At 50.9% G+C, this 23,926-nt stretch overlaps 1 protein-coding gene across 3 annotated transcripts in view, besides 3 other annotated features; it reads right to left on the bottom strand.

Annotated features, from left to right (window-relative positions):
- ELAVL1 (ELAV like RNA binding protein 1) overlaps positions 11,415-23,926 on the bottom strand; it is a 47,069-nt gene continuing 34,557 nt past the window's right edge. For 2 of the 3 annotated variants that reach the window (NM_001419.3, XM_047438383.1), the window contains exons 5-6: positions 20,407-20,632; positions 11,415-16,649 (exon numbers count right to left, since the gene is read on the bottom strand). In NM_001419.3, the coding sequence (NP_001410.2) occupies positions 16,325-16,649; positions 20,407-20,632 (551 nt within the window). In that variant the 3' untranslated portion in view covers positions 11,415-16,324. The remainder of the gene's footprint in view (positions 16,650-20,406; positions 20,633-23,926) is intronic. The other variant, XM_047438384.1, reaches the window with a different exon arrangement.
- Positions 18,394-18,594: a silencer, noted in NCBI's record as "peak3325 fragment used in MPRA reporter construct". NCBI's record gives its function as "represses an SCP1 promoter by STARR-seq MPRAs in K562 erythroleukemia cells {active_cell/tissue: K562}" and the evidence as "EXISTENCE:reporter gene assay evidence [ECO:0000049][PMID:32103011]".
- Positions 21,530-22,142: an enhancer, noted in NCBI's record as "H3K27ac-H3K4me1 hESC enhancer chr19:8033572-8034184 (GRCh37/hg19 assembly coordinates)". NCBI's record gives its function as "activates a minimal SCP1, AML or CMV promoter by ChIP-STARR-seq in primed H9 embryonic stem cells {active_cell/tissue: H9 hESC(primed)}" and the evidence as "EXISTENCE:reporter gene assay evidence [ECO:0000049][PMID:30033119]".
- Positions 22,143-22,756: an enhancer, noted in NCBI's record as "NANOG-H3K27ac-H3K4me1 hESC enhancer chr19:8034185-8034798 (GRCh37/hg19 assembly coordinates)". NCBI's record gives its function as "activates a minimal SCP1, AML or CMV promoter by ChIP-STARR-seq in naive H9 embryonic stem cells {active_cell/tissue: H9 hESC(naive)}" and the evidence as "EXISTENCE:reporter gene assay evidence [ECO:0000049][PMID:30033119]".

Raw genomic sequence — 23,926 nt, forward strand, 5'->3', positions numbered from 1 at the left:
ATCAAATAGATTATATTAGAACAAAAGTAATAATGCAAAATTCATCACTTCCTAATTATGCTGCTACATGTTACTACTATCTGTGCTCTTGAGGGTTTTTGTTTTTGTTTTGAGACAGTCTCACTCTATCGCCCAGATAGGAGTGCAGTGGCACCAGCACGGCTCACTGTAGCCTCGACCTTCCAGGCTCAAGTGATCCTCCCACCTCAGCCTCCCGAGTAGCTGGGACTACAGACATGCACCATCACGCCCAGCTGATTTTTGTATTTTTTTGTAGAGACAGGGTCTCTCTACGTTGCACGGGCTGATCTCGAACTCCTGGGCTCAAGCGATCCTCCCACCTTGACCTCCCAAAGTGCTGGGATGACCAGCACAAGCCACAGAGCCTGGCTACTTTTTAAAATTTTTTGTAGAGACAGGCTGGGTGCAGTGGCTCACACCTATAATCCCAGCACTTTGGGAGGCCGAGGTGGGTGGATCACTTTAGGCCAGGAGTTTGAGACCAGCCCAGCCAATATGGTGAAACCCCGTCTCTATTAAAAATACAAAAATTAGCCAGATGTGGTGGTGCATGCCTGTAATCCCAGCTACTCAGAAGGGAGGCTGAGGCAGCAGAATTGCTTGAACCTGGGAGGCAGAGGTTGCAGTGAGCCAAGATTGCACCACTGCATTCTAGCCTGAGTGACACAGCGAGACTCTGTCTCAAATAAGTAAATAAATAATCTTTTTGTAGAGACAGAGTCTTGCTATGTTGCCTAGGCTGGTCTCAAACCCCTGGGCTCACTCGATCCTCCCACCTCGGCCTCCCAAAGTGCTGGGGTTACAGGCATGAGCCACTGCACCTGGCTTATCTTGGGGTTATTTACATATATGATGTCTGCGTGCTGGAAATACTATATTATGTGAGTCACTGCATTGTGTACCAGTTCTGTTTGATGATGCCATCTTTGTAGCTTGAAATCACCTACAAGCAGATCAGCCACAAGTGGTGGGAGTATTTACACCACAGGAATTGGCAGACATTCCAAGTCAGGAGCTCTTTGGTTGGTTTGTTTCTCTGGTGAGCCAGTTATTAAACATTTCACCAGCACAGCGGTGGTTGAGAATACTGGGACACAGAACACAGACTCTTCCCAGGAATATTCACTGTGCACAGAAGGTGAAATGATGGCAGCTGGAAGAACATATGGGAAGGAGCGAGAGTGCTTTGTTTTCCCCAACTTTTTATTTTGCAAAATTTCAAAGCTACAAAAAAAAAATTGCAAGAATAGTATACGAGGCTGGGCACGGTGGCTCACACCTGTAATCTCTGCACTTTGGGAGGCCGAGATGGGCGGATCATCTGTGGTCAGGAGTTCGAGACCAGTCTAGCCAACATGGTGAAACTGCGTCTCTACAAACAAAACAAAACAAAACAAAAAAACAAAAACAAAAATTAGCCGGGCATGGTGGCGCACGTCTGTAACCCAGCCACTCGGGAGGCTGAGGCAGAAGACTCACTTGAGCCCAGGAGGTGGAGGTTGCAGTGACCCAGGATCCTGCCACTGCTCTCCAGCCTGGGTGACAGAGTGAGACTCCATCTCAAAAAAATTTTAAAAATATTGGCTAGGCGCAGTGGCTCACGCCTGTAATCCCAGCACTTTGGGAGGCCGAGGCGGGCGGATCACGAGGTCAGGAGATCAAGACCATCCTGGCTAACACGGTGAAACCCCATCTCTACTAAAAATACAAAAATTAGCCAGGCATGGTGGCAGGCGCCTGTGGTCCCAGCTACTCGGGAGGCTGAGGCAGGAGAATGGCGTGAACCCGGGAGGCAGAGCTTGCAGTGAGCCAAGATCGCGCCACTGCACTCCAGCCTGGGCAACAGAGCAAGACTCTGTCTCAGAAAAAAAAAAAAAAAAAGATCAAATGTTTAGCCAACCAAAATTAGTTTAAATTATACAACCCGACCCCAGCCAATAAAAAAGGGTACAAAAACAAAACTTGCATCAAAAATAAAGGCTCTCGTGCCCCTTTGTTCAAGTATACTCATAACAACTGGCCAAAAAAACACCCCCCTGCACAAAAATAAATTACTTTGCTAAAAATTCTTCGTTCAAGTGTTCAATTTCCTTAAAATTTTAAGCGTTATTCCTAACAGTTTGCACTCCTATGAGAATCTAATGCCGCTGCTGATCTTACAGGAGGCTCCAGTGATGGGGAGCGGCTGTAAATACAGATGAAGCTTTGCTGCCTGCCTGCTCACTGCCTGCCTGCTCACCTCCTGCTCTGCGGCCCAGTTCCTAACAGGCCACAGACAGGTACCAGTCTATGGCCCAGATGATGCAGACCCCTGTCTTAAACAAAAACAAAAAACCAAAGCACACTTAATGTGAGATCTACTCTCTTAGCAAAATTTTTGTTTTTGTTGTCGTTGACACGGAGCCTCATTCTGTTGCCCAGGCTGGAGTGCAGTGGCGCGATCTCGGCTTACTGCAACCTCCTTCTCCCGGGTTCCAGCGATTCTCCTGCCTCAGCCTCCCGAGTAACTGGGATTATAGGCAACCACCACCACGCCTGGCTAATTTTTGTATTTTTAGTAGAGATGGGGTTTCCCCATGTTGGTCAGGCTGGTCTTGAACTCCTGACCTTGGGTGATCCACCCACCTCGGCCTCCCAAAGTGCTGGGGTTACAGGCGTGAGCCACCGTGCCCGGCTACTGTGATGTGATTATTATACATCGTATGCCTGTATCAACATATGTCCTGTAGACCATAAGTATATACACCTACTACGTACCCACTAAAATTAAAAATAGGCAGGGCACGGTGGCTCACACCTGTAATCCCAGTACTTTGGGAGGATTGCTTGAACCCAGGAGTTCGAGAATAGCCTGGGCAACACAGTGAAACTCCGTCTCTACAAAAAAAAAACACAAAAAAATTAGCCAGGTGTGGTAGAGAGTGGCTGTTGGTCCCAGCTACTCAGGAGGCTGAGGTGGGAGGATTGCTTGAGCCCAGGAGTGAGAGGCTGCAGTGATTGCACCACTGCACTCCAGGTAACTAAAGTACAATGGGGCCGGGTGTGGTGGCCCTTGCCTGTAATCCCAGCACTTTGGGAGGCTAAGGTGGGTGGATCGCTTGACGTCAGGAGTTCAAGGCCAGCCTGGCCAACATGGTTAAAACGTGTCTCTACTAAAAATACAAAAATTAGCCGGGTGTGGTGGCGGGTGTCCGTAGTCCCAGCTACTCGGGAGGCTGAGTCAGGAGAATCACTTGAACCTGGAAAGCGGAGGTTGCAGTAAGCTTAGATCGCACCACTGCACTCCAGCCTCAGCAACAGAGAGAGACTCCGTCTCAAAAAACAAAAATAGAGGCCAGGCACAGTGGCTCACGCCTGTAATCCCAGCACGTTGGGAGGCTGAGGCGGGTGGATCAAGAGGTCAGGAGATCAAGACCATCGTGGCTAACACGGTGAAACCCCGTCTTTACTAAAAACACAAAAAATTAGCTGGGCGTAGTGGCGGGCACCTGTAGTCCCAGCTACTCGGGAGGCTGAGGCAGGAGAATGGCATGAACCCGGGAGGCGGAGCTTGCAGTGAGCCAAGATCGCACCACTGCACTCCAGCCTGGGTAACAGAGTGAGACTCTGTCTCAAATAAAAATAAATAAGTAAAATAAAAGTATAAATAAATAAATAAATACATTACAATGAGGTTATTAGGGTATGAGCCCTAATCCAGAAAAACCGGTGTCCTTATAAGAAGCAGAGATTGGGCCGGGTGCGGTGGCTCACGTCTGCAATCCCAGCACTTTGGGAGGCTGAGGCGGGCGTATCACTGAGGTTGGGAGTTCGAGACCAGCCTGAGCAACACGGAGAAACCCTGTCTCTACTAAAAATACAAAATTAGCTGGGCGTGGTGGCTCACGCCTGTAATCCCAGCTACTCAGGAGTCTGAGGCAGGAGAATTGCTTGAACTCAGGAGGCGGAGGTTGCAGTGAGCTGAGATCGTGCCATTGCACTCCAGCCTGGGTAACAAGAGGAAAACTCCATCTCAAAAACAAACAAAACAAACAAATGAACAAACGAAGCAGAGATCAGCCGGGTGCGGTGGCTCAAACTTGTAATCCCAGCACTTTGGGAGGCTGAGGTGGGCGGATCACAAGGTCAGGAGTACAAGACCAGCCTGGCCAACATAGTGAAACCCCATCTCTACTAAAAGTACAAAAATTAGCCGGGCGTGGTGGCGGGCGCCTGTAGTCCCAGCTATTCTGGAGGCTGAGGCAGGAGAATCACTTGAACCTGGGATATGTAGGTTGCAGTGAGCCAAGATCACGCCACTGCACTCCAGCTCGGGTGACAGAGTGAGACTTTGTCCCCTCTGCAAAAAAGGAAGTGGAGATTAGGACACAGATACACACAGAGGGATGACTGTGGGAAGACACGAGAAGACGGCCATCTGCAAGCCAAGGAGAGAGGCCTCAGAAGAAAGAGACCCTGCTGTCACCTTGATCTCAAACTTCCAGCCTCCAGGACTGTGAGGCAATGCATTTCTACTACTTAAGCCACGCGGTCTGGGTGCTCTGTTACCTGCAGGCCGAGCAAACCAATGCAGGTGCCCCTCAGCCTCTTCCCTCTGGCTCCCAGCCCCCACCCACTCGCATTGGCTGTTGCGTGCAGGCCTCTGCCATCTGTCTGCCTTCTGTCTGGCTTCCTTTCCACTTCTGTACCTTCTACCCAGCGGACTCCTCCATCTCCGGTTCTCCTTCTCGAGGTATAATTATAGCTGCTGGCACTAGTGCCTGTCTCCTCTGTGCCAAAGTGTGTTCCTGGCCATCAGAGGCCGTATCTTATTAACACCAACCCGGTAACCCTGGGAGGCAGGAGCTATCATTAGCTCTCTTATACCAAAGCGATGCAGCACCCAAGGCTTCCAGAGAGGAAGGGGGATGCCCAGGGCCACGCAGCTAGCATGTAAAAGATAATCTGTCACCTGGGCATGGTGGCACATGCCTGTGGTCCCAGCTACTCAGGAAGCTGAAGTGGGAGGAGTGATTGAGCCCAGGCGTTCGAGGCTACAGTGGGCTGTGATTGCACCATCGCACTCCAGCCTAGGCGACAGAGGGAGACCCTGTCTCAAAAATTAAAATAGAAGCCCGGCACGGTGGCTCACGCCTGTAATCCCAGCACTTTGGGAGGCCGAGGCAGGTGGATCACGAGGTCAGGAGTTCAAGAGCAGCCTGGCCAAGATGGTGAAACCCCGTCTCTACTAAAAATACAAAAATTAGCTGGGCGTGGTGGTGGGTGCCTGTAGTCCCAGCTCCTCAGGAGGCTGAGGCAGAGAATTGCTTGAACCCAGGTGGCGGAGGTTGCAGTGAGCCGAGTTTGTGACACTGCATTCCAGCCTGGGCAACAGAGTGAGACTGCGTGTCAAAAAAAAAAAAAAAAAAAAGAATTAAAATACAGTAATAAAATAAAATAAATAGCAGGGTGTGGTGGCATATACCTGTAGTCCCACGTACTCAGGAGGCTGAGGTAGGAGGATCGCTTGAGCCCGGGAAGTCAAGGCTGCAGTGAGCTATGATGCTGTCCACTCTAGCCTGGGTGACACAGTGTGAGACACTGTCTCTAAAAAAATTCAAAACGGGCTGTGGCCAAGGCATCATTTCCTCCTGCCTGGATTCCCGACTTTCCGGAGGCCCTTAGCCCTACCGGGGCAGTTCGGGCATCTCTCCTGAGAGGTCCCAGGTCCATTACAGGCTATTTCCACGGTCTCGACATCCCCAGCTCTTTGACGCTGGCCACTGGCCGGCCACGGGCTGTGGGTTGGGGGATCCGTGGCTTTCGCTGAGGACCCGCAGGCCTGTCTCCATGAGGCTTGACTTGATAGAAACTGGCACTGGGGCCTGTCCTGTCATACCTCCCCTTGTCAACTGCCCCTTCCTAGGTGCACCCTTCCCCCAATCTCTTATCCTAGGTTCTGTCAACTGGAAAGGAGCCTGATTCAGTGGCCTTGCCCAGGCCTGCTTCCTCTCCTCCCACCATGCGCTGGCTCTCTCAGCTGCAATTTCCTCTCCTTACCCATGCCCCACTCACTCCACGGGCCCTCGGCCAGCTGCCATTCCATTCCTCCTACCTCTCCTCCTCCACCTCCTCCTCCCTCTCCTTCTCCTCCTCCCCCTTCTCTCTCTCCTCCTCCTCTTCCTCCCTCTCCTCCTCCTCTCTCCTATTCTTCCTCCCTCACCTCCTTCCCCCTCCTCCTCCCCCTCCTCTCCTCCTCCTCCTCCCCCTCCTCCCCCTCCTCTCCTCCTCCTCCTTCTCCTCCTCTTCCTCCCTCTCCTCCTTCCCCCTCCTCCTCCCCCTCCCCCTCCTCTCCTCCTTCTCCCCCTCCTTCCTCTCATCCCCCTCCTCCCTCTCCTCCTTCCCCCTCCTCCTCCTTCTCTCCTCCCCCTCCCCTCTCCTTCCTCTCCTCCCCCTCCTCCCCATCCTCCTCTTCCTCTTCCTCCACCATCCCCCAGCATTAACATCCCTCACTGTAAGAAAACCAAACAGACAAAATGCCATCCTTGCAATGAAGGTGAAAGGCCACGGTCTACAAGAAGTCCTAAGATGAACTGAAAAATTCTGAGCGGAGACTCGATTGCATCAGGTATTTGGGAGAGAATTCCCCAGCCAGGCCTTCAGCAGCTACCGGGAGGGACCCTGGGGGGAGGAGGCTGCCCTGGAGGCGGAGGGAGTGCAGGGGAGGTTGGCAGGTGCTCAAGGGCCCCCGGCTTGGGTTAATGCTTTCTGTTGCCATTTTGAAATTCTTTTTCTTTTTTTGAGACGGAATTTTGCTCTGTCACCCAGGCTGGAGTGCAGTGGTGCGATCTTGGCTCATTGCAACCTCTGCCTCTCAGGTTCAAGTGATTCTCCTGCCTCAGCCTCTCGAGTAGCTGGGATTACAGGCGCACGCCACCAGCCTCCCAAGTAGCTGGGATTACAGGCGCACACCACCACGCCCAGCTAAATCTTTGTATTTTTAGTAGAGACCAGGTTTCACCATGTTGGCCAGGCTGGTCTTGAACTCCTGACCTCATGATCCACCTGCCTTGGCCTCCCAAAGTGCTGGGATTACAGGCGTGAGCCACCACGCCCAGTAACAATTTTGAAATTCTTAGTCATCTTCGACCAACAGGCCCTGCACATTTTTCCTTTCCTTTTTTTTCTTTTCTAGCTGATTGCAGCCTCGAACTCCTGGGCTCAAGTGATCCTGTTACCTCAGCCTCCCAAGTAGCTGGGAATACAGGTGCATGTCACCACTCCCGGCCTTTTTTTTTTTCTTTGAGAGAGAGTCTTGTTCTTGTTGCCCAGGCTGGAATGCAATGGCGTGAACTCGACTCACTGCAACCTCTGCCTCCCGAGTTCAAGCGATTCTCCTGCCTCAGCCTCCCAGGTAGCTGGGGTTTCAGGCGCCCGCCACCACGCTCGGCTAATTTTTGTATTTTTAGTAGAGACGGGGTTTCACTATGTTGGCCAGGCTGGTCTTGAACTCCTGACCTCAGGTGATCTGCCCATCTCAGCCTCCCAAAGTGCTGGGATTACAGGCGTGAGCCACTGTGCCTGGCTTTTTTTTTTTTTTTTTTTTAATAGCGTCTTGCTCTGTCACCCAGGCTGGAGTGCAGTGACATGATCTGGGCTCACTGCACCCTCCACCTCCCAGGTTTAAGCGATTCTCCTGCCTCAGCCTCCCAAGTAGCTGGGACTACAGGCACACACCACCACGCCCAGCTAATTTTTGTATTTTTAGTAGAGACAGGGTTTCACCATGTTGGGCAGGCTGGTCTCGAACTCCTGACCTCGGGTGATCTGCCCACCTCAGCCTCCCAAAGTGCTGGGATTACAGGTGTGAACCATTGTGCCCGGCCTCATTTTTACATTTTTTATAGAGATAGGCTCTCATGATGTTGCCCAGGCTGGTTTTGAACTCCTGAGCTCAGGCGATCCTCCCTCCTCATACCAGTTCTCAGGACAGGTTGCTGAGAACTCCTCAGGCTCTGAGGACACTGAGGTGGGAGGGAAACCGCGCTCTCCCTGCCCCTTGCCCCCCAGCGAAAACACTCTCATGTCAGAACTCGGCTATTACTAAACACAAACAGTGGTTCTCCGGACAACGCAGGTGTCTAGGTTTCTCCTTCTCTTCCAGAAATCCTTTTAAATTGTGCTAAGAAATTACTGAGGTTGAAAGACACACACAAAGCCCAGGGAAAAAAGGATGCAGGCCTCAGACCCTTGACCTTGAAGGGAGCAATGGAAATAGCCCCCCCCCAGAGGCGGGGGTCCAGAGGGGACTGGTGGAACTCGAACGTCCCCCACAACACACAGGGCCCTGGCTTGGGGCTGGGCCTCTCGGGCTCTGAATTCTGGGGTGAGGCGGGGATCGGGAGCCGTCTCTTCTCCTTGGAGGAGCTCGGGGGGTGGATTTCCTTGCTTGGTTGGGGGTGGCCGCAAGGCCTGTGGTGAGAGCATGGGGGGTGTCCAGGCCCCCTGGTGTCTGATCCTGAGCCCCTGAGCCCTGTCTACCCCTGCAGGTCATGCAGGCAGTACTCAGCCTCCTACCCACCCTCAACTTTCCATCCATGTCTAAACCCTGAAACAGATAGTTCAGAGGCACAAAACTAAGGGGGCGGCCGAAAGCCAGGATGCTCTACGCCAAACTAAGAAAATAATCACCAGCACAGCGTGTTTTCCAATCCGCCAAGTTCTGCTGTGTCATCTGTGAAATAGGTGCATGAACGGTAAAGTACTGTGTAACGCAAAAAGCTAACATTCACTATTGGGTCCTTCCTGTTCCAACGTCACTCCCTTAAGGGCCCTGCCCCTGCTGCCCAGAGCGTCCAGGCATTCAGCACCCCTACTGTGTGGGGCAGGCGTGCCCGGTCTGTTCTCCCTGCTGCCCAGTGGGTGGGCCCTTCTGGGTGGAGTAGAACATGTTTAAGCCCTTAACCTGGGACCAGCGCTCCCTCGTCCACAGGGCTGCTGTGGGACGTCAAGATGGTTTCCTGGCCAGGTGAGGTGGGTGGCTCACACCTGTGATCCCAGCACTTTGGGAGGCCGAGGTGGGACAATCACCTGAGATCAGGAGTTCGGGACCAGCCTGGCCAATATGGTGAACCCCATCTCTACTAAAAAGACAAACAATTAGCCGGGCGTGGTGGTGTGCGCTTGTAATCCCAGCTACTCGGGAGGCTGAGGCAGGAGAATTGCTTGAACTGGGGAGGTGGAGGTTGCAGTGAGTTGAGATCGCGCCACTGAAGTCCAGCCTGGGCGACAGGGCAAGACTCCATCTCAAAAAAAAAAAAAAAAAAAAAAAAAGGCTTCCTGAAGTTGTTGTGGCAGAGGATCAGGGACAGCAGAGGGTGAGATTCGCTGCGCTCCCCCCCACCCCAATAAAAACACTCTCATGTCACAGCTTGGCTCTCGTATGACTAAACACAAACCGTGGTTCTCCAGACAACGCAGGCATCTGTTTCTCCTTCTCTTCCAGAAATCCTTTTAAATTGTGCTAAGAAATTACTGAGGTTGAAACACACACACGCAAAACCCAAGGACAAAAGGATGCATGCCTCAGACCCTTGACCTTGAAGGGAGCAATGAAACTAGTCCCCATAGAGGCAGGGGTCTGGAGAGGTCTGGTGGAACGCAAGTGTTGCCTGCCATGCACAGGCGCCTCACTGGGCCTCTTGGGCTCTGAATTCTGGGGTGAGGCAGGGATGGAAGCCATCCCTGGAGCAGAGGTGGAGATGGGGGCTGTCAGGTTTCATTAAGGTTCGTCCCACACAGGGGACTCTTCTAAACTTCTTGCTTCTCACGGTGAGTCTGACACTGGCGTCACCAGGGAGAAATACAGGTTCTCAGGCCAGGCGCCGTGGCTCACGCCTGTACTCCCAGCACTTTGGGAGGCTGAGGAGGGCAGATCACCTGAGGTCAGGAGTTTGAGGCCAGCCTGGCCAACATGGTGAAACCCCGTCTCTACTAAAAATACAAAAATTAGCCAGGTGGCGTGGGCCTGTAATCCCAGTTGCTCGGGTGGCTGAAGCAGAATTGCTTGAGCCCAGAAGGTGGAGGTTGTAGTGAGCCGAGATCGCGGCAGTGCACTCCAGCCTGGGCAACAGAGCGAGACTCTGTCAAGAAAGAAAAGAAAGAAAGAGAGAGAGAGAGAAAGAGAGAAAGAGAGAAAGAGAGAAAGAAAGAAAGAAAGAAAGAAAGAAAGAAGGAAGGAAGGAAGGAAGGAAGGAAGGAAGGAAGGAAGGAAGAAAGGAAAGAAAGAAAGAAAGAAATGCAGATTCCCAGGCCCACACCAGACCTGCAGAAGACGAATCTGCTTTGAAATGATGCTCCCCCATGGGAGGCAGATGCATTCTTAAGTTTGGGAGGCGCAGACGCCCGGACCCTTTCTCCTGGGTTCACAGGTGGGGCGGTCAGGAGATCCATTAGCCTGAGCCAGTGGAGCTGCCCAGAGGCCGCAGGAGCCCCAGCTGTCGGCCCCTGGGGTCTGAACACCTGGGGGATGGCCCCGAGCGCTGTCAGGGCTCTGGCTGGAGCACAGCCCTGGCCCTTTGGCCCCAGGTGGTGTCAGACAACATGGGTTTTTCCTGGAAGCCGAGGGATCATTTAGTCACGTCTGGAAGAGAAGGTGATGAACACAGACCCACAAGACACACAAGCAATAGAGAAACTAGCAACTTGAAAACGGGCTCCGTAAATGCTTTCCGAGAGACCGGGCTGCGGGCCCATGTTAGCTCAGCTCTCTGGGTGCTGGGCGCGACCATCCAGTCCTTGGCTGATTCTTGGTAGCAACTGTCACCATCCCTACTTGATCTCATTTTCCTGAGGATCTGGAGGGGGTGGGCAGCGTGGACCCATTTCACAGAGGGTAGAGCGGAGACTCAAGAGAGCCAGGGACTTTCCCCTGGGTGGCACGCTGGGGAGTGGTGTCAGAGCCAGGATTTGAACCTGGACTCTCTGACCTTGAGACCCCTAACCATTCCCATCCCAAAGGAGACAAAGGAGATCAGTCTCACGGAGGGGACACTGAGGATGGCCCCAGGGCTCGGGAGTGACTATGGTTCCACATACAGACGAGGGAAGAGGCAGGATCCCCGGGTCACTGTTGGGGGAGCACTGGTGTGGGAAGCAGATGGAGGGGGGCCATACCCAGGGGCCACTCGGTGGGCCCACTGACCTGTGAACCTGGAGAAGAGGGGCATCTGGGTGGGAGCTGAAGGGCCGTGGGTCAGCCAGCACAGGGCACACCCGAACTGGGTGTCCCCTCGTGGGCTCCCGGGACCTGGCACAGGCTTACCTCGGAGGGAAGAGGTCCCCATCCCCTGGCACTCTATTACTGGGCTGTGGGCTGCTCACAAGTCATACACCATCACCCCTACACCAGCACATCGCAATGATCCCACTTCATTTATTACCAAAATATCACAGAATTCCAGTCATAGTTAACATACAGCGTTTAACACGAACCTGATACCTGTAGAAAGAACTGAGTATCGGGACAATTGAGTCGTTGGAACTGTAAGCCACGCCCCAAACCGCATCACTCCGTACTTCAAAAATACGATTTTTTGAGAGCTTTGGAAACTGAATTAAAATGTCTACACAGCTATGAACAATTGTTTAATAAAACTTTTTCATGTTTCCATTACATGTAAATATATCAATTTGGCATCTCTATAAAAACTCTGAAAATGGTGCAAAAGTTTCATTCTCTTTGAGAAAGCCATTGACAAAAAATATTCACACTTCACTAAAATTTTGAAAAATGGTCTTCTTTCAAAGCTTCTTTATTAATCTGAAGTCTTCTGGGTTATCAAAATCTAGGTTTGCTTTTTCCTCCTAAAACACTAAAGAACATTTATTCACAAGGATTAAAAAAAAAAAATAAAAAGGCAATGGGCTGATGGAAAACTGATAAGGGCTTTTCTTTTTTTTTTTCTGAAAATAATTTAAAAAGCTTAAAAGTTACATAGGCATCTTCAAAAGAACACAATGGGATTCATTTTATTGTTGACTTTTGGACACCAGTGTCAGACTTTATTGAAAACAAACCCATGTAAAAACAAAGTTAAAATGAAAAATGGCACCTGAAAAATAAATTATTTTATATAAAACAAATCAATAACTTAAAACACACTAATATACAAAAGGTCTAACCATCTACTGTACAACATGGGAATCGGTTAAGAGAGCCTCCCCTCCCCCAAAGCAAGTCACTGTAAACGGAACATCACATGGTCATGGTCAAAGAGGTGGCCCCAAACCAACGGAAAAGGCTTCTCTTCTGGTGGAAGAAAAATCCAGTCCTGTCAAAGTCTCCGTTAGCCTAACTTAGGTACTGGCGGTGACTTACAAGTGAGAAAAAAAAAATTTGTTTTTTTAAATGGCCAAGAAAGAAACCTGAACGATGTCACTGAAAGGTTGTAGAAAAATAGGATCCAGCCATTAGAGGTCAGGGGAAATCAAAAAGGTTTGGAAATGTGAACCCTGCCTGGGATCCGAGATTCAGATTCTACTGCCATCATTACACGCCAATTGCCAATGCCACTTAAAAGAAAGCACTTGTGACTTCAGGGCTGTCTTGCGAAGTTTGGGGACAGGAACCCCTGACCCCCAGAGTCAGCTAAACCCCAGGGGTCTCTGCTAAGGAGCTGCCTCAGGTCCTAGTAGGTGAGGTAGGTCTGGGGAAGATGGGAGGGGATTGAGGTGGAGGGTGGGGTGGAGGGACAGGATAGAGGCCTCCTGTCAGCTGAATTCTTATTCTCTTTCATCCAACACAGGAAGGCTGCGAAAAGCACATGGAAATAAAAGGGGGCTGAATCGGATGTGAAATGTAACAGCTGAGTGATGTCAATTTCGATTTTTCAAGTCCGATGCCGGACTGGGTAAGTCATGTCTTTTCAATGCCTGGTGGACAAATGGCCTTCATTTGGAAGCAAACCGGGTCAAGGAATTGCCACTAACCGTCTTCGGGTGCTTCTATTTCTCTGATCCAGCAGGGACCCCTGGGCTGCCGGCTCCAAAGGGCCGGTCTTGGCTCCCAACAGCAGCACGGTTCAGTCCCTGGAGGCTGGGTCTCCAGGACTAAGGCCAAGCGCAGACTCTCAGAGGTTAAGGCAGCTGCCCTTGGCCAGGAAAAGGCTCACCTTCCAGGAGAAGGTGGCGGAACCCACCCAGCACCACCTGCGGGCGGGCCCCCGAGGAAGCCCATGAATTTCAGGATATTCACGCAGGATGGTGGCCGGGGAGGGGACTCAGCACCCGGGAGGGAATCAGTCACAGAGCTGCGACTAGAGGCACAGCCAGCACAGAAAACTGCGGCTTGGCAAATTACACTGAAAACGAAATAATGGCAGAGCCAAGGGGGAACAAGGGAGAATTCATCAGGAAGCAGGTTCACAAATTCGGAGCTGCCTGGGGTCTAACTACCAGAGGAAGTTACACACGGGTCAAAAGGGAATTCAATCAAAGCCTCTTTGGTATTTCCCAAACCAGATTTTTGATAAATGAACATTATCTACTCTGAACGCTTTTTCATCGAAATTCCCAAATAAAAGCAGAGCACTCATTTTTGCTAAATAGAAATACAACTGATCTATGTAAAATTTTTTAAGAAATGGTTTCTTTTGGGTTGAGCCTTTTTTAAGAAAAGGGATCTCCCCTTTGCAAACAGGCCTTGATAAGATGTAATGAACTTTGAGGACACAGGGCCAGCAACTAGAACCTTGATGGAACAGAGATTGCTTTTCAGGAGTGACAGTTGTTAAGCTAAATCCTTCCACAAGCTTGCAAGCTAAGACTCCCAAATAAAGGCTTTGGAATTTTTTAGCTAGAAGGCTGTTCAAACAGCGGAGACCACATACAATGAGAATGTTCCTGAACTGAGAAACTTCAGGGAACTTTCAAAGGCTCATATACTTCACAGTTTCTTCTCACCTGTCCCAGCATCAGAATAATTGATAGGATTCAGATAAAAGGGGGCGAGGAAAGAAGCTGAGGTGCTACAAGCCCGTCATCATTTTCACAGTTGAAGCTTAAGACAGAGTTCTCTGTTGAATGCTAGCTATGGGCATGTGTGGGAGTGAGACTCCAGGGGGAGTTTCAGAAGCGGGAATCCCGCCTTCCATCAGAAGGGTGTTGGCTCCCACCTTCCATCAGAAGGGTGTTGGCTCCCACCTTCCATCAGAAGGGTGTTGGCTCCCACCTTCCATCAGAAGGGTGTTGGCTCCCACCTTCCATCAGAAGGGTGTTGGCTCCCACCTTCCATCAGAAGATGCTGGCCCAGGGAAACCTGAAAGGCTTCTTTTTCCAGGAAAGCATTCTGGTCCCAGGATGCAGACTGCTCTCGGGCAACAGAGCAGGGACCCTCTTTTGTGTCGAATCCGGGCAATGGGCCTCGGTTTTGGCTTTTCCTGAGGATCTGGGATTCTGTGGGAGAAAGGAGGTCCTCTCTGGCACCAGGCCGACTTTTATGAGACACAGCCTGGGTACGGATGGCAACATCATCAATTTGCAAGGATCGCGCACACAGCCCCTCAGTAAAAGATCAGGGAAAGGGGAGGGGATGGGCATCCTCAATTGTCCAGGGGCCTCTCGAGACGCTGACCTGCTCTGGGGACGGTGGTGCCTGCCTATTGCTCAATTTCACACTTCAATAAATAAATACATAAATAGGTATAAATAAACAGATAAATACAGCCATCATCTCATGAGAGCAATAACTAAAAAACAGCCTACGGTCACGTTTTAGTCTCACGTCAAGGTTAAAAACTGCTGGTACTAAGTTATCCTGTTTGTGATTCTCTCTGTAAACTAGTTATTTATAAACGCCAGATCCCAGTCCTGAGGAGTTTTGGGTGATCTGGCCCTGCCTATTTCACAGGCTTTCTCTTTCACCCTTCCTCCGGGCTCCTGGTTTAAAAGCCACCAGCCTGTAACTGCACATTCTTGCGTCACAGATTCAGAAATGCTTTTGCTTGAGGCAAGGATTGGTTTCTTAAGATCTTACGACTCCTCCCTGAATGCTGGGCCACCTGCACCTTCCCTAGCCAAAAAGAAAGAAAAGGTAAAATAAAAAACAAAACAAAATTCGAGCAAAACAAAATCAAATTTAATGGTCTTAAATGCAAAAGTAAAAACAAACAAAAAACACAAAAAAGCAAAAGAAAATTAACAGAACAGAACAACCCAAAATGTCAAGGCAGTTATGAAGAGAACTTTGAGGGTTAATCTTTAAAACTACAAATCAAAGGTTTTGGTTAATAGATAACTGGCAAGAAGTAAGTACTTTTCTGCTGAGTGTTCATACAAAAGCAAAATTCCAAAACAAAATCCGACTAAAATAGAAAAAGGTCTAAGCGCTCACGAGAAGGGATGCGAGAAATACAATGCTCAAATGTTTCTGTGTTATTAAAATACAGAGCCATTTTACGCCTCCAAGCTATGTTAAATGCTCTGGAAAACGGGAGAAATTATCGTGAACAACAGTATCCAATGTGTGGGGCGCTGTGCATGCAATGTGTGGACAGAAACTCGGGATGTCAGAGTAGCAACACATCTTCAGGCGTGCCTGGAGCTTAGATCTGACTCTGGAATATACTGGAGTTTCCCTGAAACTCTTTGGTCCATTCCCATTGGTGCCTGGGCTTACGAAACACGTTTGTGTCCTTCTCTGGAGGGCCCGCCCAGCATGCAGCCCGTGGCCCCCGGCCCCAGTGGTGGCCCACGCTGGACGGGCCCGCCGCCATTCCCAGGACCACTCGGCAGAGCCCGGGACTGAGTGAGCAGGAGGTGGCAACGGGACCTGCCTGGAAAAGGAACTTCCTGTCAACCAAAGCATACATCGCTTACAATGTTGAAGCGGTTGAGAAAACGCACACTCAGCATCTGTCTAACATCTTTAGATTAAAAACTAAAACTAAAAGGTGATTTTTTTGCTACCCAGTCTGTGGAGACATTGAATGAAACGCGTGTTAGACAGTCTTAGAGGTTAAAGCATGCTTCAGGTTCACCACCATCCAGAGGGACTGGTTAGTCAATGCAGTTCTACTTAGATTTCTGTTTAATATATATCTTAAAGGAAATAACTTACGAAACTTAAGATTGGTCTAACATTGTGGGATTTCAAACATTTGAACATGTCGGTTGCATCCCAGAGTATAAAAACCTTCTCACTTCTCATTCAGACAAAGACAAACACTTGTGAAAATTGGCGCAAAATGAGTTGTACACTAACAAGAAAAGTTTCAACTCCTTCACTCTTAATTATCTATTCCGTACAAAAAAAAGCATGAGCGAGTTATTTGTGGGACTTGTTGGTTTTGAAGGAAACCTGTAAGATTTTGTCCCCCAGGCGGTAGCCGTTCAGGCTGGCTATGGCCATCGCGGCTTCTTCATAGTTTGTCATGGTCACAAAGCCAAACCCTTTGCACTTGTTGGTGTTGAAGTCGCGGATCACTTTCACATTGGTGACGGCACCAAACGGCCCAAACATCTGCCAGAGGATCCCCTCGTCGGCATCCTGCCCCAGGTTGTAGATGAAAATGCACCAGCCGGAGGAGGCGTTTCCTGGCACGTTGACGCCAGAGAGCCCGCTCATGTGATCGACGCCCATGGGGGAGAACCTGGCAGACAGAGAGCAAGCGTCAGGCCACGGTCAGCGCAGGCGGCCTGGGGATGGGGCAAGGCCTGGACGCATGCTGACCATGGCCGCTGGGCCCCATCCCGCTCTGCGCAGCCACGAGGTGCTCACGGTTGAGACACCTGCATGGGTCAAAACCCTGGGAGGAATTAAATACAGTAGTGGAGGGGCGGGACCCTGTTCTGTAGGGAGCTGACTCTGAGGGGCTGGTTGGTGCCCTCCACTCCTCCCACTGTGTATGTCGGGGTTTCTGTTTAGGGGTTCCTGCGGTTCCCCACATTTTAGATGATGGGCGCTTCTCCTGGTCCTCCGTTGAAGGTAGAAATGCTCTGCAGGCCTCTGACAGCCTCAGTTCTCCCTGGAGGAAACTCTCCTCGTACTGTGGGGTACGTGCAGGGGCTGAACTCCTTTTTCCAAATTTTGCACCTTCCCCTTATCATGACCCGCCCCCAAGCGTTGACAGCCCAGTGGTCTCTGGTTAGAGCACGCCTTTGCCAGGGCCACTTGTAGGGCACAAGAATTCCTTCCCAAGCACCAGGCAACCAACCCTCTGTGGCTAGAGCTCAACATCCCCTGAGGGTCAGGGGCCAAACCACTGAGGACTGAGAACTCAAGGGACAGGGAAGGGCCCTGGGACACCAGCAACGGCAGGCTCACCAAACTTGACCACACACGTGGGGCTCTTTCCACAGTGATACTTTTATTTACATAAAAAATAAGCCTTTCTGGGCCAGGCATGGTGGCTCAAGCACGGAATCCCAGGACTTTGAGAGGCCAAGGTGGGAGGATCACTTGAGGCCAGGAGTTTGAGACCAGCCTGGGCAACACAGAGAGACCCCATCTCTAGGAAAAAAACAAAAACCTCAGAAAACAAAAACTAAACTAAACTAAAATAAAATAAAGCCTTCTGAAAATGTACAGATGCTGTAATAAGGATTAAGGTATATGACAAAACAGTTCCTAAAGCTATGTTTCCCTCTGGAACTTTCTCACATTAAAAAAGTAAAGGTCTGAGGGTCAGTTTGGGAATATCTGAGTAGCATACATTTGTGAAGCCGGCATCTGTGAAGCTGCGTGATGCATGCAGAGAAGCATTACCTGCTCCAAAATAAAACTGGGCTTCAGGCTATGGCCCTATCAGCCAAGCGCAGCCCTGCAGGCCCCAGCCGGGGTAAACGAGTGCCTTCAAGCGCTGTTAAACAGATTCACCCTCTCGACAGACACGAGAGGACACCAGCTGCCATGGGGCAGCTCACTAGCCCAACGGTGATTTTCTTTATTTTTGAGAGAGGGTCTCACTATGTTGTCCAGTATGGTCTCAAACTCTTAGGCTCAAGTGATCCTCCTGCCTCCTGAGCAGCTGGACCACAGGTGTGTGCCACCATGCTGGCTAATTTTTACATTTTTTGTAAAACCATTTTCAGGATGGAAAGACTAAGAAGAAAGGGTCTATGTTGTCCAGGCTGGTCTCAAATTCCTGGGCTCAAGTGATCCTCCTGCTTTGGCCTCCCAAAGCGTTGGGATTACAGGCGTGAGTCAATGCGCCCGGCCTTCTTAGGAATTACTCTTGTTGGTAGTTTTTCTCCTGCTGATTTCTCTGGTCTTGACAGTCATAAATCTTCTCCTCTCTTCCTCCAACCCAATTCTTTTCCATCCCTTATCTCTGGGCTTTTCTGGACGTGATAGGGACTGACTGCAAACTCACTGCAGTCTGGGTCTTTCTTCCTCCTCTTCTCTCAGCCTCCTGAGCGAATCTTTCCCTCCAGACTCTCCCGCCCTCCCCACTTCCTTCCATCACTTTGTCTTAGTGGTTGCCCTGCCACTCACTTTTCCTGCTCGACCAGAAATGTCCACTTCTCCGGTTTCCCCTTTCTTTTCTTGTCCTCATTACTGGGACCAGAGTCCCATGTCTCCTCCAACCTTCCCTGTTTTCCTTCCAGGCTAAGGAGCAGTTCACCCAACCCCACCGCCCATATAGCCCGCCCCATCAAGAGCAGGACCGACTGTATGATGGGATTTCTAGAGCTGGATTTTAAAATTCAGCTCCATTCCGTCCAGAGAAGCTTCCCCAGCCTTGTCTTCAAGCCAGAAACCTCAAGGAAGGCAGGCCAGCTTTGGAATTTGAGCCAGGCTGAGAATGCTGGGTAACTCAGCCATGAGAATAACACCTCTCACAGCAGCATGTGTGGCACTGGGCAGCGCCCACCCAGCTTCACTGTTAAAACAACGATGGGGCCGGGCTCACGCCTATAATCCCAGTACGTTGGGAGGCTGAGGTAGGAGGATCACTTGAGGCTAGGAGTTTAAGACCAGCCTGGGCAACACAGTGAGACCCCATCTCAACAAAAAATAAAAACATTAAAAATTAAAAAAAAAAGGGAAATCTATCCTTGTCATACCTGAGATAAGCCCTCGATGCCACTCCTTGAGGTTTTGACAAAAACAAAACAGCCCTGACACTGAGACCTCTGCTGTTTCTGAGGCGACAGCACACCACATCCTGGAGTCCAAGGCCCTGACTCTCATCGCCTCTATCCCACTTCATCCTGGCAGCCAGAACCATTTTCAGGATGGAAAGACTAAGGAATCCGGGAAAACTCCTCCCCTCTAGGACAGGGCTTATAAACAGAATGCATACATACAACATTCACCAATACAAATGACTCCACGAGGCAGGTGTTTGAAAAAGGTTTGCCTTAGGGCTGCTGATCAAATGTCTAAGAATGCTGGAAGATCTACTCTCACCCGAGTATACCTAAGGCAGCATCTTTTCTCCCACAGATATGAGACGTTCATTATTCATTTATTTTTTAGAGAAAGGGTCTCACTCTATCACCCAGGCTGCAGTGCAGTGGTGCAATCATAGTTCACTGCAGCCTCCACCTCCTGGGTTCAAGCGATCCTCCCACCATGGCCTCCTGAGTAGCTGGGACTAAAGGCCAGCATCACCATGCCCAGTTTTTTTCATTACTTTTTGTAGGAACAGGGGTCTCACTTTGTTGCCCAGGCTGCTCAAACTCGGGGCTTCAAGTAATCCTCCTAACTCGGCCTCCTGAGAGCTGAGATTACAGGTGTGTGCTCCCCCACACTGGGCATGAAACCATCTTTAAAGCTCGCGGCTCCGTTCTGCTGTTACTAGGAACTGCGTGCTGAAGCTCTAAGTGCTCACGCTCACAGCAACTGGTGGGGACTGGTGCTGTCTTTTTTTTTTTTTTAATAAAAACAAAAAAAGACAGGTTCTGGCCCTGTGGCCCAGGCTGGAGTGCAGTGGTATGATCACAACTCACTGCAGCCTCAACCTCCTGGGCTCAAGCAATCCTCCCACCTCAGCTTCCTGAGTTGCTGCAACTACAGGAGCGCACCGCCATGCCTGGCCAGCTTTGTATTTTTTGTAGAGATGGGGTCTCGCAATATTGCCCAGGTTGGTCTTGAACTCCTGGGCTCAATCGATCTTCCTCTCTCAGCCACCCAAGGTGCTAGGATTACAGGGATAAGTCACTGTGTCCAGCCTGGAGTCACTGTTTTGATTCCCATGAAAGACAACGCCCAATCGGAAGTAAACGGCTTTCCTACAGACACCTTTCTGATGGAGGTTGTGGTGTGGAGCTGCAGAATGATTCTGAAACGCGCTCTCTGACGGGATCAGTCTATCATCCCCGTGGTTTCTATTCTGTGGCTGTGCCGTCGCCTGCCAGCGGGGCTAAGTATGGCTTTCAGGAGCGCGCACCCTCCCGACCCACCTGAATCTCTGCGCCTGGTGGTGAACGGGGCCTCCGAACCGTCGCGCTGGCGAGTGGTACAGCTGCGAGAGGAGTGCCACGTTTTTGTTCTGGTTGGGGTTGGCTGCAAACTTCACTGTGATGGGCTCAGAGGAACCTGGGGGTTTATGACCATTGAAACTGGTAATTGCCTCTTCTGCCTCCGACCGTTTGTCAAACCGGATAAACGCAACCCCTCTGGACAAACCTTTTCAACAAATCAACAAAAACGGAGTTAGGGGGAAAAACGCTAGGACTTTCAAAACTGAAAAGCAAAAGTCAGGTCAGTCTACTGTGGGCCAGGCTAGAAGTCTGGTTAAGGAAATAAACAAAAATTAAACCTAAAAGTGAAAACAAATGGATGGAGTAAAGAAAACCAATGACTAACAGAAGATTAAAGCTTCAGACTTTCTTCCCGGCTGAAGCCATGACTCCACAGTGTTGGCGCCCAAAGATATTTTGGTGACAGACATCCCCAATAGACACCCAGGCCTCTTATTTGGAAGAAAGCAACATTAGGAAACAGCACATCCACCGTCACTATTTAGCTGCCAGGTGTCCGCCACAGAGTGGGTGCGTGGGTGTGGTGTGTGGTTGGTGGGTAACAGGGTTGGAGTGGGGACTGCGTCTGAGAGATCCTCCCTGGGCTCAGGGGCCACTCTCCTGGCTGCTGTCTCTGGGCCCGCTGTGACAGCAGGCCTCGTGGCCGAGCCTGCTGCAAAGGTGCCCAGCTCAGCCTGCATGCCTTCTCCTTCATGCCAGGAGGGAGTAGGGTCCTGTGGCCACCCCCTGCCAGCTCCATGCTGCTGCTGTCACCTCACTCCTGTCTTGGGATACTCCACTCTAAGGTCCTACACCCCTCCCGTGGGCCCCAAATTGCCATCAGAATCAAATGAGGCCAGAACACTGCCCAGGCTCATACAGCAGAGCTGAACCTATCCACAGGCTCGCCAGGCAGGCCTGGGGTCCCTGTATGGGAAGGGCCAGGGCCCCAGCAGCCAAGCCCAGAGGGCATCTTCTCTTGCCACCTCAACTGAGCCACCCAAGGGCCAGTCCCGGGTTCCCGGCTAAACCCAATCCCTGGACGGAGCAGTGTGAGACCTGAGGACCGTCCTGCTATGGGGGACATTGGTCAGCTGGGCATGGGTGTGAGATGCTGAGCAAGGCGGGTGGAAGGAGAGCATGGCTGTCCTGCACCCCTGCCTGTCCATACACTAGGCCCGGGAGGGAAACATGAGTAGCCCGTCCCTTGAGGAACCTGGGAAGCGGGCTGGAAACTGGATGAGGGGGATGGGGATGAGGGCACACTGAGCAGCGCACTAGCTCCTTCTCTGGGGGCAAGGACATGATGGAGTCAGGGGAAGGCCCAGGGGTGGGAGAGGTGACAGCTGAGAGGCCAGTCTGAGAGTGACATCACTAGGCGGGAGTCACGGGTGTGTCCCAGTGGGAGAGGCCGTCACAGACAGCCCAACCCAAACACCCTGGTTCTCAAGACTTTTAGTCAAGCCAGGCCAAGGCTCATGCCTGTGGTCTCAACTACTCCAGAGGCTGAGGCAAGAGAATCGCCTGAGGCCAGGAGTTCAAGACCAGCCTGGACAACACAGTAAGATCTCACCTCTTAAGGAAAAAGAAAGACTTCCAGTCAAAGGGTGTCTTAAGTCAGGTTTCTTCTCCAGGCAAAGGCCTCTGGTGCATGGTAACAAACAACGACCAAAGCCAGGCAGCCCGGGGCCTTGGGTGACCTGTCCAGCGGGCACCCAACTGTCCCCATGTCCTGTCTCCACGCCTCACACGGCACCTTACTCCACCACTTCCCAGAGGGTCCCGCCAGCTGCCCCCACAATCGCGACACTGCAGGCCCCCCGTGAGCACAGAGACAGCAGCTTTAGTAAGGTCAGACCTAGCGCTACGCACACGTGCCAGGAATATTCTGGGGCTCAAGCTCATTTCTGAGCTGCTGCTCAGAAGGAACACCTGAAAACACAACCCTGACAGATGCTGTTTTCTTTGAGTCTCTCACGACACGAATGACAGCTTAGTCAGTCTTGGAAACCTAAATGAAAATCGAACTTTAGGCAAATACGACTGAGAGCTGACGCTGGCCGGCTCGTAGGGAAGCTGGCTCCAAGCAGATGGCTTCATTCTGTTTCTAAAGACCCTGCGGCCCAGCGGAGAGAAGGCACGTGTGCAAGTGTGGCTTCCTCGTCTGGGGTTGTAGAGTGGCTTTCAAATGCAAACTGCCTGAGTGAAAGGAAGAAAGCTCTAGTAAGGGGGGCAGGAGGGATGCTGTTTAGCAGAGGGGGATATCAATTCACTCAATTATTTAATGGATGTATACTTTCTGAAGATGGCTCTGCATTTTTTGTTTTTTTCTTCCCCTAGTGTTTTTTATTTTTAATTTTTTTTTTAAGATGGAGTCTCGCTCTGTCGCCCAGGCTGGAGTACAATGGCACGATCTCAGCTCACTGCAACCTCCACCTCCCCGGTTCAAGTGATTCTCCTGCTTCAGCCTCCCGAGTAGGTGGGACTCCAGGCGCCTGCCACCATGCCTGGCTAATTTTTATTTTATTTTACTTTATTTATTTATTTAGAGATGGAGTTTCGCTCTTTTTGCCCAGGCTGGAGTGCAATGGTGCAATCTCGGCTCACTGCAACCTCCGCCTCCCAGGTTCAAACGATACTCCTGCCTCAGCCTCCCCAGTAGCTGGGATTACAGGTGCCTGCCACCATGCCTGGCTAAGTTTTTGTATTTTTAGTGGAGACGGGGTTTCACCATGTTGGCCAGGATGGTCTCGACCTCTCGACCTCGTGATCCGCCCACCTTGGCCTCCCAAAGTGCTGGGATTACAGGCATAAGCCACCGTGCCCGGCCTATTTTTAGTACAGATGGGGTTTGCCATGTTGGCCAGGCAGGTCTCGAACTGCTGACCTCAGGTGATCCACCCACCTTGGCCTCCCAAAATGCTGGGATTACAGGCGTGAGCCACGGCCCCCGGCCCCCTTGTGTTTTTTAGAATTTAACAGCAGAGTCCAAGAAACGGCATAATCTCCAGATGAATACACTATAAAGTTCACAATTAAGGTGGATATAGAAGCGAAGGAATACAAAAAATTAAGCTCTGTCAGCTCAGGGTGGGATTTTTTTTCTCTTTTTTTAAAAAAAGAGTTGGGGGTCTCGCTATGTTGGCCAGGCTGTTCTGAACTCCTGGGCTCAAGCAATCCTCCCACCTTGGCCTCCCAAAGTATTAGGATTACAGGCGTGAGCCACCGCGCCCGGCCATCCTCATCTATTTAACACTAAAAAGCCCGTCACAGGAAGGCAAACTCCACACAGGCTGGCCTGCCACACACACTCTGTCTCCAGCAGAGGGAGCTACAGCCCTGGGATGGGAGCCTCACCTTCCCACCAATTCTGCATCCTGGGGTGGGAAGCAGAGCCGGGAGACCCTCCTGGCTCCCTTCTCTCTGCCTCCCTCACTGCTCTGCAAAGATGACAAAGGTT

This window comes from Homo sapiens, chromosome 19 (genome assembly GCF_000001405.40).
Source record: "Homo sapiens chromosome 19, GRCh38.p14 Primary Assembly".
Taxonomy (NCBI): Eukaryota; Metazoa; Chordata; class Mammalia; order Primates; family Hominidae; genus Homo; species Homo sapiens.